Source organism: Homo sapiens, chromosome 2 (assembly GCF_000001405.40).
Source record: "Homo sapiens chromosome 2, GRCh38.p14 Primary Assembly".
In the NCBI taxonomy this organism is placed as follows: Eukaryota; Metazoa; Chordata; class Mammalia; order Primates; family Hominidae; genus Homo; species Homo sapiens.
Window position 1 is genome coordinate 29043680 of NC_000002.12, and position 16915 is coordinate 29060594.

Genomic DNA, 16915 nt, shown 5'->3' on the forward strand with positions numbered 1-16915 from the left:
TTAAGTTGTGACTAGTGTGGTTGCAAAATGCTGGGAGCTTGGCATGCTGGTTTCTCTGCAGTCCACAAGGAGAAGGTTCTGATGATGGTGTGTATTTCTCAGCTTAGCACACCTTTCTAGGACAGGCCCATTTTTCTCACGTTGTGTGTCTTTGTGAGAAATGCATCTCTTCAAGTTTAATAGTTTGAGAAACCAGGAGGTGTCAGCTAGAATGGAGAGGAACAAGCAGCTTCTAAATTCAGTAGATACGGAGTCCTGCTGCAGTCGACTTCGGGAATATGAAGGAGCCAGACAGCCAATTTATTCCGGAAATGTCCCCACCCCATTTGCTTGTGTTTTCACCATTAGTGGCTCATCTCTGTAATAAACACTCATACTATTTCAGTTCTTTCAAGATACAAATGGGGTGGTGCTCAGTCCCCAGAACTTTACCCATGGGCATGGCTGGGCAGCCAGGGAGCTGCGCCTCGCAGCTGGGTGTGGCTGGATGGTTGGTGGAGCTGGGATTGGGGGCGGGCACACTGGGACAATTTTTTCAAAAAGGTTTAAAACACCTCTTTTCCCAAACCTCCCGAAAGGCATATTGGGGCATATAGACGATAAACTCAGCCATCTTTGCAAGTACATTCATGCTGGGTCTGAGACTCAGACCACCTGGAGTTTACAAGTAAGGAGAAAATCAGGCCAGGGCAGTGAGGTCATATATAAACCATTGATGATAATATGTGCTCCTCAGCCCACAAACTCCCTCCTCTGACCCTGCCAGAGCCAGCCGGGTGCTTCTGCTCTGGATAGGATGACCAAGCATCCTGGGTTCCCGGGACTCGGGACTGACAGTGCTGAAATGGGGAGAGCCCGGGCCCACCAGGACCAGTCAGTCACCCTGGCCTCAGACCTGCAGGCTTTTGGTTACAAGAGCACAGTGCTTCTCACCTGGTGTCAGGGTTCATGTCTAAGCGTCTGTCTGCTTGTCAGAGGAGCCTCTTGAGGGGGATGGGAGTACTGGGTTTTACTTGGCTCCTAGCTCTATGCCTGTTACATAGATGATATCAGTATGTGTTCAGTGTAGAAATGAACCACCACCAGCTGTGGGTACATCTTGGTGGGTAGAGCACAAATTCAGGCTTTGAGAAGAGCTATACTTTCTGAATTTTAATCCTAACCCTTCACTGACCTTTGTGTAATCATGGCTCAGTGATTCTGTTTCCCCTAAAACATATCTGTATATCCATCCATCCATCTCTATTATCTATCTTCTATCTATCCATCCTCCAACATCTTCTCTCCATCATCCATCCATCCATCCATCTTCTGTCATCTATCTACCTACCTACCTACCTGTCTACTTTGCTTTGCCCCAAAACTCCTGTCAATTTTGAGACGCACAGGCAATATGAACCAGATCTGTGGGAATAAATGAGGCCTGTTTGGGAGCCAGTTTAACTCTTTCAGGCCACTGATTCTTTCCCAAACACGCTACATACATTCACTTTAAGTGGCCCCTTTGTGACCTGGAAAAATTAATTCAGCTCCCCCAAAGGCCTCATCCCCTTGCAGGTACTGTGGGTATGTGGCCCTGCAAACCCCTAGTGCTGTCACTCAGCCCCCAGCAGTGTGGCCACTGACATCCCCCTTCTCTTTCAGACAACCTTTGCCTTCTACCAGCGCTTGCTGGGCGAGTGCGTTTCCTGAGTGGCCGTGCGGTGCTGGATGTCACAGATCGCCTGGCAGGTGAGCACCCCCAGCCCCACCCCACCCCATCTCCTGGCAGATTTCTGTTCTCTCCTGGTCTGTGGTTGAACCATTCACCCAGTTATCTTAGACCTGAAATAATCCCCCCCAATCATTTAAAATTTTGAAAATCTGCTTTTTTTGTGTGTGACAATCTCCATATTGCCAGAAGACAATCTTTGTTTTTGATCAAAATGAAGTAGGTTTGTACAAAAGCAAAAGTGTTTTTAAAAAACTGTTACAGGTTGAATCTCCCTAATCAGAAAATTAGAAATGCTCCAAAACCTGAAACTTTTTGAGCGCTGACATGACATTAAAAGAAAATGTACATTGGGGCATTTCCGATTTCAGATTTTTGGATTAGGGATGCAGAACTGGTATCATGAAAATATTCCAAAATCAGAAAAAAAGCCGAAGTACTTCTGGTACCAAACATTTTAGATAAGGGACACTCAACCTGTGTGCGTTTCTTCCTCCTTGCAAACAAGGCTGCTTCTAGCCTATAGAGTACCTTTGTGTGAGTCAGAAAAAAGCCTCCTTTTTCAGACAGACCATGCCTAGTGGGTGCATATGGCTTGGTCAGTTGACAGCACCATCAAGAGAATTAGAAAAAGTTGCCATGTACAACTTTAGCATGTGCAGCCTGGCAAGCAGGCACCAGCTGGGTTTCAACCCCTCAGGACCCCTTGGCCAGTGCTGGGACTGTATTATGTGGAGACGGGGCCTTAGCCTGAGTCTACTCAGCCTTGCTCAAGCTTCAGCTGGTGAAGGGTTGCTCCAATCCTGTTTCTGCTTTGAGTCTGCAGGAGAAGTCCAAGTGACTTCATTCCAGGGCTGAAATCTGTTCTTGTGGTCCTTGAGGTGGCAACACAGAAAGGACACAGGCTTTGGTGTCCACACACCCATCTGCCACCACCAGCCCTGACCTTGGGCAGGTTACTTATCTTGGTTTCATGATCATTTTTGCTTGCACAAAGCCTCCTCCCCTGCCTTGGGAAGGTCCCATCTAGGGAGGGGGGCAGAGGGACTCTGTTCCCTAGACTCCCGATGGTCCCCCTGAAATGCAGACAGATCATGCACCAGCCCTGCTTTAATCTTTGTGAGACTCCTGAGCTGTCTTCAGGATAGTGTCCAGGCCCCCTGGAGTGGCCCACAGCTGTCACTGCTGCTCTAGGATGTGCCGCCTTCCTCCCACCCCAGCTCTATGCTCATTGAATCCTCATGACCACCCCACAGGAGGATGTAGATTCCACTTGGTGGAGAAAAGGAGAATGGAGCTCAGAAAAGTGAAATGCACAAGGTCTCTTGGTGAGGAGCCCAGGATGTGTCCTGGGAGCCTGGCTGAAGGGCCAAGACCCCAACCCTGTGCTGTGCTGCTTCCCCCTGGCACTCTGCCTCCTGGGTGCCTGCATGCAGTGGCCGGTCTCTCAACTTCTTGCTCTGCCCACTTGTGGCTGCCCTGCCCGGAAAGCCTTCTCCATTCTTCTTCCTCTACCTGGGGGATGCCTGCTTGGCTCTGGCATTACCTTCTCCCTGTGTGCTTCTCAAGACTGCATCCCACATGGTATCACTGGTCTGTCTACTGCCCTCCCCTCCTAGCCCAGCTGTGAGCATCCAGAGAGGGGCCTGGCACATGCTGCATGGCTGAGGACCTTGGCACCAGCTGCCCTTTCAGCTTCTCCCCTGCCCCATCTCTTGCGCCTGGCCTTGCCTCTATGCAGGTTCTGTCCTTCCAGCATTCCTGGAGTGGCCTCTTACCTTACGGGAAGGCAGGTGCGAGTGAGGCAGGGCTGGCTGCAGGTGAGCTGGGGGAGAACAGGGTATGTAAGTAAGATGGTCCTAGACACCAGACAAGGAACCCTTTGCCATTGCTCAAAGTCAGCATTTTCTGCATGAAAGGTTTACCTGTCCTTGTCTGGGTAATTTACGGGGCCCAGAGGTGGGCAAGTATCTTCACCTTATCCACTTACTGTAATTTTTTCTTGTCTATTTCCAAGAGACCTCAAAAGAAGAGCTTCTCCATAGGTCTTCTGTTAACTCTGTGTCCACCAGGAACACAGAAGAAAATTTTTATTGACACAGGCGAGGCCTAATAATAGCACAGCTTAATAGGAGTAAATCTTCTGCTAATTACTTCAGCTGCTTCTAAGCTTGAGTTTAATGGGGCTTGCTCCCGCATGCTGGCCCCCAGAAGGGCCTCACCATCTTTGCCAGCTTAAGAGTCAACACCTGCCAGCCAGGCGACTGCCACATCCTTGCACCTGGGGAATGTGGCTCTGAAGTAGCCTGAGTTCTATTAGCCAAGACGTGATCAGAGAAGGTGGCCTGGGCTGTGGAATTGAGTTTGGGTGGGGACTGCTACTCTTCCTGTGGAGTGAGCTTCCTGGGGGCTGAAGTGTAAACACGCCTCACTCTGTGGAAGAGAATTCAAGGAGCAAGAGTGGATAAAATGTAGCAGGATGGGGAAGGAGGCTCTGTTGGGGGGCAGGTAGAGCCCCCCCAGCCTTTGGTGGGGGTGGGGGTGGAGGGTGCGTGCCTGGGTTTGGCTCTTGAGATAGTTCTCACTTTTCCCTGCTGTATTAGCCTGTTCTCATGCTGCTGATAAAGACATATCCGAGACTGGGTAATTTATAAAGAAAAAGAGGTTTAATGGACGAACAGTTCCATGTTGCTGGGGAGGCCTCACAATCATGCCACTCATCTTACATGGTGGCAAGGAAGACAGAATTTGTGCAGGAAAATTCCCCCTTATAACCTTTTAAAACCATCAGATCTCATGAGACTTACTATCACAAGAAGTACACCGGAAAGACCTGCCCCCATGATTCAATTACTTCCTACCGGCTCCCTCCCATGACACGTAGGAATTGTGGGAGCTACAATTCAAGATGAGATTTGGGTGGGGACACAGCCAAACTATATCACCCCCCATTAAAAGAATTGTGTTAAAATACACAACATAAAATGTACCACCTTAACCATTTTTAGTTGTACAGTTCAGTGGTAGTGTCCATGATTTTTGCAGTCATCTTCCGAACTGTTACCTTGCAAAACAGAAACTACGTCCCCATTAGGCACTAGCTCCCCATTCCTCCCTTCCCCAGTCCCTGGCAACCACCAACTACTTTCTGTCTCTACGATTTTGGCTATTCTAGGTATGTCATATAAATGGAACTGTACAGTTTGTCTTTTTGTGTCTGGCTTAATTCACACAGCAGAATGTCCTCAAGATTTATCCATGTTGTAGCGGGTGTCAGAATTTCCTTCCTTTTTTTTTTTTTTTTTTCAGAGAGATTCTCGTTCTGTCACCCAGGCTGGAGTGCAGTGATGAGATCTCAGCTCACTGCAACCTCTGTCTCCTAGGGTCAAGCCATTCTCATGCTTCAGGCTCCCAAGTAACTGGGATTACAGGCGCCCACCACAACACCCAGCTAATTTTTTTTTTTTTTTTTTTTTTTAGACAGAGTCTTGCTTTGTTGCCCAGGCTGGGGTGTAGTGGCGCGATCTCAGCTCACTGCTACCCCTGCCTCCCTGGTCCCGGTTCAAGCAATTCTCCTTCCTCAGCCTCCCAAGTAGCTGGGATTACAGTCACGCACCACTATGCCCAGCTAATTTTTGTATTTTTTTTTTTTTTTTAGTAGAGATGGGGTTTCTCCATGTTGGCCAGGCTGGTCTTGAACTCCTGACCTCGTGATCCACCCGCCTTGGCCTCCCAAAGTGCTGGGATTACAGGCGTGAGCCACTGCGCCTGGCCCGATTTTTGTAGTTTTAGTAGAGACAGGGTTTTGCCATGTTGGCCAGGCTGGTCTTGAACTCTTGACCTCAAGTGATCCACCCACCTGGGACCCCCACAGTGCTGGGATTATAGTCATGAACCACAGCACCTGGCCAGAATTCCCTTCCTTTTGAAGGCTGAAAAACATTCCATTAAATGTATATACCACATTTTGTTTATCCATTCCTCAATGGACACTGGGCTGCTTCTGCCTTTTGGCGATTGTGAAAAAGGTTGGTATAAACACGGGCATAGAAATCTCTGTGTTCTCACCTATTTTTGCATTCCATAGGGATTCAGGATACTTTTGAGTTATCGTTATTCAGTGTAGGCGGCTACTCAGGGTCATTCGTTTTCTTTTGGTTCCCTCTCACTGTCCCCCTTCTAGTTTCCCCTCATCTCCCACCCTGGGGCTGACAGGGACTGCTTTCTTGTCACCTGTTCTCTTCCTACTCAGCCTGTTTCAAGCACAAGGAATAGAACTCTCAACTCTTTCCAACCAGTGTACCTCTTTGCTCCACTTTAGAAAGCTCCTCCAAGCCCTTTACCCCAGGATCCTTTCCTGGGGAATGCTGGGGTGACCCAAAAGGTGCAGTCCTGCCCTTCCAGTTATCAGGACCACCTTCACCTCTGAGGATCCTGTGACCCTCGGAGGTTCCCTGCAAGAGCCCCAAGGGTGCAGCCTCAAAGCCAACATTCCTTGATAAATGTCACCAAGAGAGTGTCAGGCTGACCAGAGGGTGGCCCAGGGCATCTTCCCTGGTTCCTCCTTATTCCAGGCTGGCTTTGAAATCAGAGGGACCCGTGGGGCTCTAAGGGGAAGGTATCCTAGGGGATTAGATGATGTGGTCCTGATGAAGGAAGGACAAATTGCAGTTTCATGAAAAATAAAACAAGGTGGCTCACCTATGATCCCAGCACTTTGGGAGGTCAAGATGGGCAGATTGCTTAAGACCAGGAGTTCAAGACCAGCCTGGGTAACATAATGAGACCCCCATCTCTACAAAAAAAATTTTTAAAAAAATAACTGAGCGTGGAGGCGCATGCCTGTGGTCCCAGCTACTGGGGAGGCTGAGGCAGGAGAATTACTTGAGCCTAGGAGGTCGAGACTGCAGTGAACCGTGATCGTGCCACTCTACTCCAGCCTGGGTGACAGAGCAAGACACTGTCTCAATAAATAAATAAAACAAAAAATAAAGCTCCAGATCACCTCTGAAATATGGAATCCCTAGAAATTTGGGGACAGCATGCGGTAGAAAGAGTGTGGACTTTGGAGTCCAGGCAGATTAGGCCTTTGTCCTCTGCTTTGCCCTTTGCCTTGATTTGAGTCTTGCTTTCCTCCTCTGGAAAACGGACAAGCATCCTGCCTCTCAGGGGTGCTGTGAGCATGAAATGGAGCTGTGATGTGAAGCTCTGAGCCCTGGGCTCAGGCAGTTTCCAGGATATGGAAACTGTTTTCCACAGAATTCCCGGCCCACAGAATCAATAAAGCGCTGCTGTTAGTGTTGTTTGCCTGCCCCAGCACTTATCCTTCGGCTGGATGACAGGCAGAGCATGTGAATCGCAAAGCCAGCTTCGATAGTGCTAATGCGCTTAGGATAATGCGGCCACAGCTGAAGGCCTGAGCAGCCCCTCTGGGGACCCAGGAGAGCCCTTGATGTGGTTTTAATGTGGCCACAGCCCTGGCATTTACTCAGGTGATGAAGAGCTGGTTGGCAGATTCAGCTGGCTTCTGGGTTTTCCGGGGTTTAGAGAGGGTTGGGGGCCTTGGGAAACCAGATATGGGGGCTTATCACTGGAATGGTCTGTGCAGAGCTTGCTGGTTCACAAGCACGTTCATGCCTCTGCTGCTGGTCTCGTCCTGAGGTTTGGCATCCGGGCACCGGGGAGGCTGTGCTAGGCTTCTCCCCTGCCAGCTGTCTTGTCTGCCAGCATGCTTCATGTGAGAGGGTCTTGATTTCCCTCCCCAGTAGTTTTTCTCTGTATTTGTGTGGACTTCCATAGGTGGTGATGTGGATAAATGCAGTATTACTATAGTTACTATTTGTCACCTGCCTGCCTACAGGTAGGCACTTTATGTATATTATCGAATTTCTAACAATCTGGAGAGGTTGGTTCAGCATTTTTATCCTTACTTTATGGGTTTGGAAAAGGCTCAGAAAGGTCGGGTGGCTTCCTCATGCTGACACAGTTGATGGGGGCAGGATTGTAACCAGGCGTGCCTGCCTCTTTCCTGTTCCCTGGGCTGGAGGAACCATTATGATTGTCAGAGATTCTGCATATTTCTGCCTTTGCGTGCCCCTTTCTCCATAAAAAATATTTAAAAATTATAGTTTCTGACTGGTTGGTATAAGCACAGATATAAACCAGGTTGGACATATTCATATATTTTCTACTAATGTTAAAAGAAGCTAACACATTTTCATAGGCTGCTAAATGTGTCATGATCCTTAGTTGCTGTGCCTGCTGGGCTGCCAGCCCTTTGGGGGACAAAGTTGGTGTCCCAAGAGAGGGAAGTGGGAGAGGGAGAGAGTGCCTGGCTCAAGTGACTCTCCTTTTCTGCCTGACAGTGCTGGTGGCCTCAGTTTACCCCCGGAAGCCTCAAGCTGTAGAGCGGCATGTCCTTCCCATCCTCTGGCACTTCCTGAACACCGCCACCAGGAATGGCACCCTGCCTGGACCCAGCGGGAACATCCGCGGGGTGGTGTGCCGGCTGTCCAGGAGCCTCCAGGAGCACATGGGCTCCCGCCTGCTGGACTTTGCCGCCAGCCAGCCAAAGCACGTCCTCAAGACGCTCCAGGAACTCTTAGACTCAGAGTCCTTGGGAGGCAGCCGCAAGGCCACTGACAGAGGGGTGGCCCCTGACAGCAAGACAACTGGCAGCTCATACCCTTTTCAGCTGGATTAAAGATGGATCTGAAATGGGCAATTATTATTTATCTTATTTTTTTGATGGACTATTCTCCTGGTTACTTTCCCCCTTAGAGTTCCAGATGTACATGGTATATTTTGAAGTAGAAATAAAAGAATTACTTATTTTTCTAAGGTTTTATTATCTTGTACTTTTTTAATCACAGAGAATTTTCCAGTAACTAGGTTTGTGATGAACGAAATGAAATGTGACAGCAGCAAAACCAGTTGCAGACAATGTTGAGACAAAGAGTTAGGAAGAAAAAGGGTAGCACAGCCCTGCAAGCTGCAGCCCGCTCGAGACGATAGTTGCCCATCTGTGAGCTGCTGGGCAAGCCCTCCTGAAACCCGCAGCCTGAGTTGGTCATCGAATCCAGTCCATTTGTTATGGGCCTGATTGGAGGTGAGTGTAACAAACGTGTTCAGGGACATCGTGCTTCTGCCCTGCAAAAGCTGCAGCACGTGTCTGTTGGTCCTGTGGGAACCTTCTGATCGGCCCAGCTTATCAAAAGACAAGGGGAATTTGAGATTTGCATCACTAAAAGCCTTCTCTAGAAGTTGGAGTTCTGGCTAGTTCTGAAGAGGACTAGACAATGCTTTGCCATTGAAACACCCTAAATGGAGATGCATGTGGAGCGTAAAGTGCTACCAGTGTGCAGATGCTGCCGAGTCTCTGAAACTGCACAGGCTGCAATTGTGGGCCACATCACAAGGCTGGAGGGGCGAGTGGGCACAGCACGGGCCAGGACTTGTGGAAGCAGGGAAGGTGTTGGCCCCTGGGGGAACAGCCAGTGAAATGAAGTCCCGGCAGTGGAGAGGGAAGTCTGGGGCTCAGGCTCTGGACACTTTAGGTAGGAGTGGCTCTGCCTTGGCTGGGGCCAGTGGCAGGTTAACAACTGTGTGACCAGAAAGAGTTAGAGCTAAGGCCATGACCTCAAATGCACAGGCAAGGCAGGCCTGGTAAGGCAAAGGCTGAAGAGGCAGCATCCCAGCTCTTGCAGGGGAGCCCAGCCTGCAGCCACGTGCTGGGGCAGATCCAGACGACCGAGGCCCTGAGGGCCCAGCCTCATGCCAGCAAGTTTTCTGGCAGACACCCCCCTCCCCTGCCCTTCCCCAGTGGAACCTCTTTCCACTGTCATCTGCCCCCCAGGCCTAACATCCATTCCACATCCCTGTTCTGAGCCTCTCCTGGGGAGTCTGGCTCTGGAAAGCCCCGAATCTACTCACTTATGTATTTCCATACCCCACCAGGCTGAGGAAGCCACTTTCCCATCTTGCCTCTGTGGCAGGTGTAGTTAGTCCGGCCCCTCCTTACGCCCTGGGGTGAGGTTGGGCCTGCGAGTCATCCCGGGCCTTGGGCTTGTCATAGGCGGCTTAAGAGTGACTTTGGGTAATTCTAGCCCAGTGAGCTGCTTCTCACCTGATTGTGACCCCAGCAGGGGCTTCCCTGCGACCATCTAGCTCTTTGTTGATTCTGATTGAACCAGGTTAAAGGCCTGCTAGACAGGCAGCCATCCAAAAATGCCCAAGAGGCTGACAGTAAATGTTTTAAGTGTTGAACAATTTAATGAATTGCATTTGCCTGTCATCTGAGCAAATGTTTTTGGTTTGGTGAGGAGACTTGCATTTTCTGCTTTTATCCTAGAATGTATCAGAACATTTCAGGGTTTTTTAGATCCCTAGGAGGCCAGGGACGTAGAGTCTGGCAAGGATTTTGACGGCAGAAATGAAGCTTAGCAGTACTGTCCTGTCTTCCTGCCTTCCATGTGTGTTCTCACACAGGAAGCTTCCCATCCCATGGGCCTCCACCCACTCTCAGGGGCGGAGGCATTGAAAACAGCTGAAAACAGTGGAAAAGTGCAGAATACATCTTTGCACTGTTCTCTTTTCCCTCATTATTTCAGGTTTTATTAACCACACCTGTGGTGTGACGCTGCTGGGAGGCACTGGGTGGCTCTGGTGTACCTTGAGAAATTTCCATCTCCAAAGACTTCCTTACCTCATTACTTTTAAAATGAAGGGAAGACAGCATGTTGGTAACCTGGCCCTGGGCCTGTTGGGAATACCTGTGGGAATCTAATGGGACGGCCTGTCATGGGACATGAAGATTTTCCTAAGAGCTGGGGCTGGAGCTAAGCCCACACATACTTTGCTTGGTTCTGTGTGTGGCCAGGAACTCCACTTACATGAGATGCTCTTGGGGGTGGGAATACAGCCTCTAATGATGGAAGATTCTCTTTCTCTCAATCTCTCTCTCCATGTAACAAAAATGCAGGTGCAGTCACTCACTGCTTGCAGACTCCAGTGAACAAAAGGGAGGCCTGGTATAAAGAAACTGACTTTTTATTCCAAAGCTAGTTTAGGGGAAGAAGCTGCCTTGAAGGGTACTGTGTCGTTTTTGGAGCAGAAAGTGGGCACTTTTAAAGGGGCGGGGGGGGGGGTGCTGGCACGAATGGCATGCAGGAGAGGAAGCGGGCAGGTGGGGGAGTCCACATACTTGCTTTGATGACTTATGTAACGGGTGGTCAAGTTGGCATCTTCGTGGGCAGAACTAGGTTGTAAAGTGGCTGAAGCTCTCCGGGTGGGAGGGAGTTTCATAGTGGGCATATTTTGGGTTATTAATTGACTGTTGTGTCTCCAGGCAGTTTCCTGGTGGGTGCAAGTTCTGCTCTAGAGCTTCTAAGCACACAGTTAGATGAGCCTGCCCTGGAGGGAGTGTCTGGTAAAGGGGAGGTAAAAGGTTATAGTTGCATTTCTTTTATATATATGTTTATTTGTTTATTTATTTATTATACTTTAAGTTCTAGGGTACATGTGCACAACGTGCAGGTTTGTTACATATGTATACATGTGCCATGTTGGTGTGCTGCACCCTTAACTCGTCATTTACATTAGGTATATCTCCTAATGCTATCCCTCCCCCCTCCCCCACCCCACAACAGGCCCCGGTGTGTGATGTTCCCCTTCCTGCGTCCAAGTGTTCTCATTGCTCAATTCCCACCTATGAGTGAGAACATGCGGTGTTTGGTTTTTTGTCCTTGCGATAGTTTGCTGAGAATGATGGTTTCCCGCTTCATCCATGTCCCTACAAAGGACATGAACTCATCATTTTGTATGGCTGCATAATATTCCATGGTGTATATGTGCCACATTTTCTTAATCCAGTCTATCATTGTTGGACATTTGGGTTGGTTCCAAGTCTTTGCTATTGTGAGTAGTGCCGTATAGTTGCATTTCTAAAGGGCTAAGTAGGAAGTGGGGAACAAGGGGAAATGGGGAAAAGAGAAGAGAAATAATTTTAAAAACTCGTTTTCTTAGAAAAATGAGTGTACTCAGTTCAGAGTGAGACTCATAGACAGAAGACTTGTCTGAGAGCTGTAACTGCCAGGATTCCCTTTTACATCAAGGAGAATTTTTTTGAGATTTTAGGAAACTTTTCCTATAGGTCCCATTGTGGCAGGCCAGGTATCACTAATGCAGGCATCCATAACAACTGTTTCAATACTGACTGAGTGGTTAAGTTAAACATTAAAAGCTGAGAGAGCTGGTGGCCTTATACAAAGGCTGGAATGTAACAAAAGCCCACCAAGAGTTTGCCTAGGCCTTTGCTGGGCCTTGAAGCATGATGAGATAATGAAGGAATTCTTAGTGGGACCTGTTTAGGATTAAACAAGCTTTACTGGGTGTCTGAAGAAACTCCCCAGGCCTCCAAAAACAAGTTTATTGGAGGTCTGAAGGAACTCCCCAAACCTTCAGGATTTAGCAGGAGACAAGATAAGGGTAATCACCCCAGCACCTGGACCCATTTAGATTAAGTAAATCTATTGAGGCTCCAGAGGAAGGTCTTCAGGACTTAGATGTTAGCTACAGATTAAAAGAAATTAATCGCTTATGTCTTTAGATGAGTGCACACTTACACATAGACATGTAGCTTAGAAGATATGCAAGCTCTGGAAAACTTTGTAATTTGAGTTGGTCTGGCGATATTTTCCAGGCCTTCTCCCTGTAACCGGTTATGGAAATAAAAAACTCTCTTCCTCCCCAGTTCATCTGCATCTTGTTACTGGGCCACGAGAAATAGCAGCCCAACCCTCAGTTTGGTCCAGGAACAAAATCTCTCATCTTGTTTTCTCCTCCCTTTATTATCTCCTACCTGCTGAGATAATAAACGTTTCTACCCTCTCACTGTGCTTCGGAATCATCTGGCAAGACTTAAAAAATACTGAGGTCTACCCCCACCCCACAGGGATTTTGATTCACTTGGTCTGAGGTGAAGCCTAGGCAGCTGTATTTTTTTTTCTTTTAACTCCAGGTGATTCTAATGGCTGGGTGAATTCAAAAACCACAATAAAATATCAGATAAAAAAGGAAACTGGCCATGGCTTAGGCCCTGTGGGCTCCTGGCCTGCCAGCTCCCCTTACCTCACAGCCCTAGAGTATTCTGGGGTTGACGGTAGAAACTGAGTCCAGGCTCTGGAGTCAGGCCTGTGGCCTGCTGGCGTGTGGCTTGGGACCCATCTATCAACCTCTCTGATCTTTCCATATCAATCTAGTGTGTGGATGACATCAATGCCCACCTACACCTGGCTGTGGTGACGATGACTGAGAACATTCTCATAAAGCATTTAGCATAAGGCCACGAAAACAGGGAGCTGTTCTGCTTGGGGCCTGCCATTTCTCCAGCTGTCTTACCCTTTCTCCAGACGCCCTCAGAACCATCCCTCCCCCCAGAGAAGAAAACCCAGAAGCTCTTCTCTCCTTGTGGCTGTTCCTTCCCCTCCACTCTTCTGACTCTTGAGACTGGAGAGGGGATGATTTGCAGGGGAGCAGAGTGCTTTCTTGCCTAAAGCATTTTCCTCTTATTATAACTTGGTTCTGCCATTAGGAAAAGAAAGGGGGAAATGACCATAAGTCTCCTGCTCTCCTTGTGATGGAGGGAGGAAGATGGGGGCCCAGAAAGGGAAGCCGAGAGGAAGAGCCAACCTCCTCATTAAATTCTGCAGTGTTCCAGGTCTGCCATTCTTCTTGACATCTTATAAGGAAGATATTATTTCTTCCATTTCCTGATGAGGAAACTGGGCCTCAGCGATGCTTAATGAATAACCGCAGCCAGTGCACAGGAATCACCTGGGAATCTTGGTAAAGTTCAGATTCTGCTTCAGCAGGTCTGGGTGGGGCCTGAGAGTCTGTAGTGTTCAATTCCCAGGTGAGGTCAATCCTGTGAGTCTGGCAGGGACCACACTTTGAGGCGTCAGGTCCTAAGACAGCAAGAAAGTGGCTGAAACTTGGGTGTGTGTCCAGGCCTGTTTGACTCCAAAGCCCCTGACTTTCTGTTCCAGGATGTTTTATGGCTCCAAGACATTTACCTCCCCTTGGGTCAGTTTGAGCCCTTTGAAATAAGCCACGGAAACCCCATGGATTTCTGGAGTTAGTCTGGTCCCAGAGTTTTGCTCCCAAAAGCTTCAGGGCAGAGAGGGTCTGCTTGGTCAGCTCTGATCATTAGGACATGCTGTGAACACTTGGCCTCTGGTGGGGACGGGATTTGTGGACACAAATGAAGGCTACATGAGCAAAGTGTAGCCTATTCAGAGCTTGCTATAGCAAGGGAGCCTGCCATGACGACCTGAGTTTTGGCAGAGACTCATATGCAAGCAGAGGTAATGCTGCAGCTTCATAGTGGAAAAAGGGGAGACTTCAGGTATGCCCTGATTGGAAGCTGTTGGCCTGGGGACGCTGTAGGCACGAAGTGTGGACTGTGGCTTGCTTGTTACAGTATCACCCACGGTGCTTGTTAAAGTACAGATCCCTGGGTTGTACTGCAGACCTACCGAATCAGAGCCTTGATCACTCAAAGTTGAGAACCTCTGTCACAATCTCAAAGCTTTCAGTGGTTATTAGGTTCCCAGGCTAGCCCACACCTGGGAGTCAGCATCCCTAAATCAGTCTTTACCAAATGTGGTTGATGAAAAGAATTGCTTGCGGGAGGAGAACGGGGAGAGAGAGACGGGAACAAGTGCTTTTTAAAAACTCAGACTCTTAGTCTCAGCTGTAGATCTGTTACTGGGGGGAAGGCCTGGGAATCTGCAAATTATCAAGCAGCTGATTCTGAGGATCAGGAAGCCTGGGAAGCAGCGTCCTAACTGCCTGCTCCCAGCCGGGTTCCAGACAGCACGGCAGCATCACTGTGTGCACAGATGCTCCCTGGTGGGTGTTTCTGAGTCAGGGACCTCTTGGGGGCTCAGGTTTGGTCCTTATGATTACTGGGGTTTATTCAGGGGGCGTGCTGGTTTCGCCATATTCCGTCCCCTGGTGTTTCAGTGAAGCTGGCTGTAACATTTGAAGGCTTTGCTTTATTTTAATCACATCTTTATAATTACCTCGCTGTGAGTTGACAGCTGTTATTAACATCACCTTGGGTTCTCCTTGAGAATTTTTACATCCTTAAAGTGATGCGGCACTTCTGCAGCTGAAGTCAGAAGCCGTTAACTAAATAATCGCTCTAAAATGTCACCAGGTTTTGTAAACATAGCCAATACTGTCCCCTTCCAAAGGAGGAAAAAAAATTGCTAGATAAATAATTTTCATGAAGGCAATTTGTTTCCCAGGGTCTATATTATTTTCTGTCTCATCCACTGGTTTTTGCCGCTGTGGGGCACTGGCAATAAAGAGCTGTCTCAAGAAGGAGGCCACGTCTGCTCCTGCCAATTTTCATCTGGAAGCCCACTTCAGGGTTCATGGCAATGAGAAGCAAAGATTTTTGGAAAAGACTTTTCTTTTTCTCTTAATGCTAGCAGCAGTTGTGTGTGTGTGTGTGTGTGTGTGTGTGTGTGTGTGTGTGTGTGTGTGGAAAATGATGGGAGTGGTTGAGGTTCATAGAGGGAATTATTTTAAAAACTCTTGGAAACATTGTTTTGAGTTTTCATCCAAGCTAGTTTGAGGAATGGCTAGAATTTCAGCTGAACTTTGATTAGATATGAAAAGTAATGTCCTGGGCTAGGTGTGGCAGCTCACACCCGTAAACCCAGCACTTTGGGAGGCTGAGGTGGGAGGATTGCTTGAGTCTAGGAGTTTGAGACCAGTCTGGGCAACAGAGCAAGACCCCATCTCTACAAAAAAATAAAAAATCGTAGCTGGGAATGGTGGTGCATGCCTGCAGTGCCAGTTAATCAGGAGACTGAGGTGGGAGGATCACTTGAGCTTAGGAGTTCGAGGCTGCACTGAGCTACAGTGAGCTATGATTGTGTCACTTCACTCCAGCCTGGGCGACATTGAGTGAGACCCTGTATCTTTAAAAAGAAAAATAATTTCCTATTTGTAAATGTTGGAGAAAATGGAGAATTTCTTCCATAGAAAGGTATGCTGTCTCCTTCCAGTACTGCCTCTATGGAATAATCTAGATCTTGCTTTCAGCAGGTATCAGGAGGAAGGCTGGCCAGGGTAAGAGGCCTGCTCTGCCCTCACTGGCAATGTATCTTTGGAGTGAGATCTTTTTTTCATGTGTAAAAGGTATTGAAAAAACACTTGCTTTGTCCATCTCATAGCGTCTTTTTTCCTCTAAAGATTTAATGAAACAATGTACATGATTGCATTTTGAAAAAGTAGAGTGTTACATACAAAGAAAGGTAGAATTATTAACTGGAGCCTCATCCCACACTGTGTGCAAAGCCTGCTGTTTAGCAGTGTTCAGAGTAATTGCCAGTCATCTATCTGACTGACTGACAAGCCTCATGACTCAACATGGGAAAGATGAGAGATTCAGAGGCTTAATTTGTTTTTTTCCATGTGGTATATTTGACATATGTACTTGCAATTGCAAGCAAATATTGTAAAGTCTTTTCTCTTCACTTTGAAAGACATGAAAACCTTCAAAGAAGGAAGTCAATTCTTGCTGAGTTTGACAGCTGTTTTTAAGTTTCTCCAAAGATCAAAGCGCAGCCCAGGAATGAGGGGGAAATGATATTGGCTTCTTTTCTCAATCGGGATCTTAAAGTGCGGAGGCAGCAGAGATGAACACTAAAGACCAAAATGGCCAGGATTATGAGTTCCGTTCCCCGAGGTGGCTCAAAAAGATGCCTTAGAAAAGACAGGTTTGCCCCTGTTGTGCAGATGGCAGGATAAATAGGCTGACATTATTATCACTGCTTTGCAGATGAAGACACGGGCTCAGAGATGCCAGGTCACAGAGCCAGGGGATGGAGGTGTCATGACTCAGGCTCTGGTGTTCTAATTCCAACTCTCAGGAGCGTGATACCCTCTGGCTCCTGAGAATGCGTGGCCCATTTACCATACCCCTTGTTTCTTTCCCCTCCTGCTCTCTTCCTCCTCTTTTTCTTCTTCCTCCAATTTAGGCCAGTCAGCTTTATCTATGGGCATTAACTGAGCCCCGCCAGTGCTATCACTCCAGCCAAAACCGATTGCTGCCTCGTGTGCTAGACTTCAAGGCTGTCTGCAGTGACAGCGTTCAGAAGCGGGTGACTAGATCAGTGGAATCCTAGAGCC

The 16915-nt window shown here is 48.2% G+C and overlaps 1 protein-coding gene across 13 annotated transcripts in view, besides 1 other annotated feature; it reads left to right on the plus strand.

The window, feature by feature from the left end:
• Window positions 1-8551, plus strand: part of TOGARAM2 (TOG array regulator of axonemal microtubules 2) — a 95713-nt gene extending 87162 nt beyond the window's left edge. For 7 of the 13 annotated variants that reach the window (XM_047443568.1, XM_047443570.1, XM_047443574.1 and 4 more), the window contains 2 exons: window positions 1645-1731; window positions 8077-8551. In XM_047443568.1, coding sequence (XP_047299524.1) covers window positions 1645-1731; window positions 8077-8414 — 425 coding nt within the window. In that variant the 3' untranslated portion in view covers window positions 8415-8551. Of the gene's footprint in view, window positions 1-1644; window positions 1732-2967; window positions 4157-8076 lie in introns of those variants that run through there. The other 6 variants (XM_047443566.1, XM_047443569.1, XM_047443567.1 and 3 more) reach the window with 4 other exon arrangements.
• Window positions 9276-9786: an enhancer, noted in NCBI's record as "NANOG-H3K27ac-H3K4me1 hESC enhancer chr2:29275821-29276331 (GRCh37/hg19 assembly coordinates)". NCBI's record gives its function as "activates a minimal SCP1, AML or CMV promoter by ChIP-STARR-seq in primed H9 embryonic stem cells {active_cell/tissue: H9 hESC(primed)}" and the evidence as "EXISTENCE:reporter gene assay evidence [ECO:0000049][PMID:30033119]".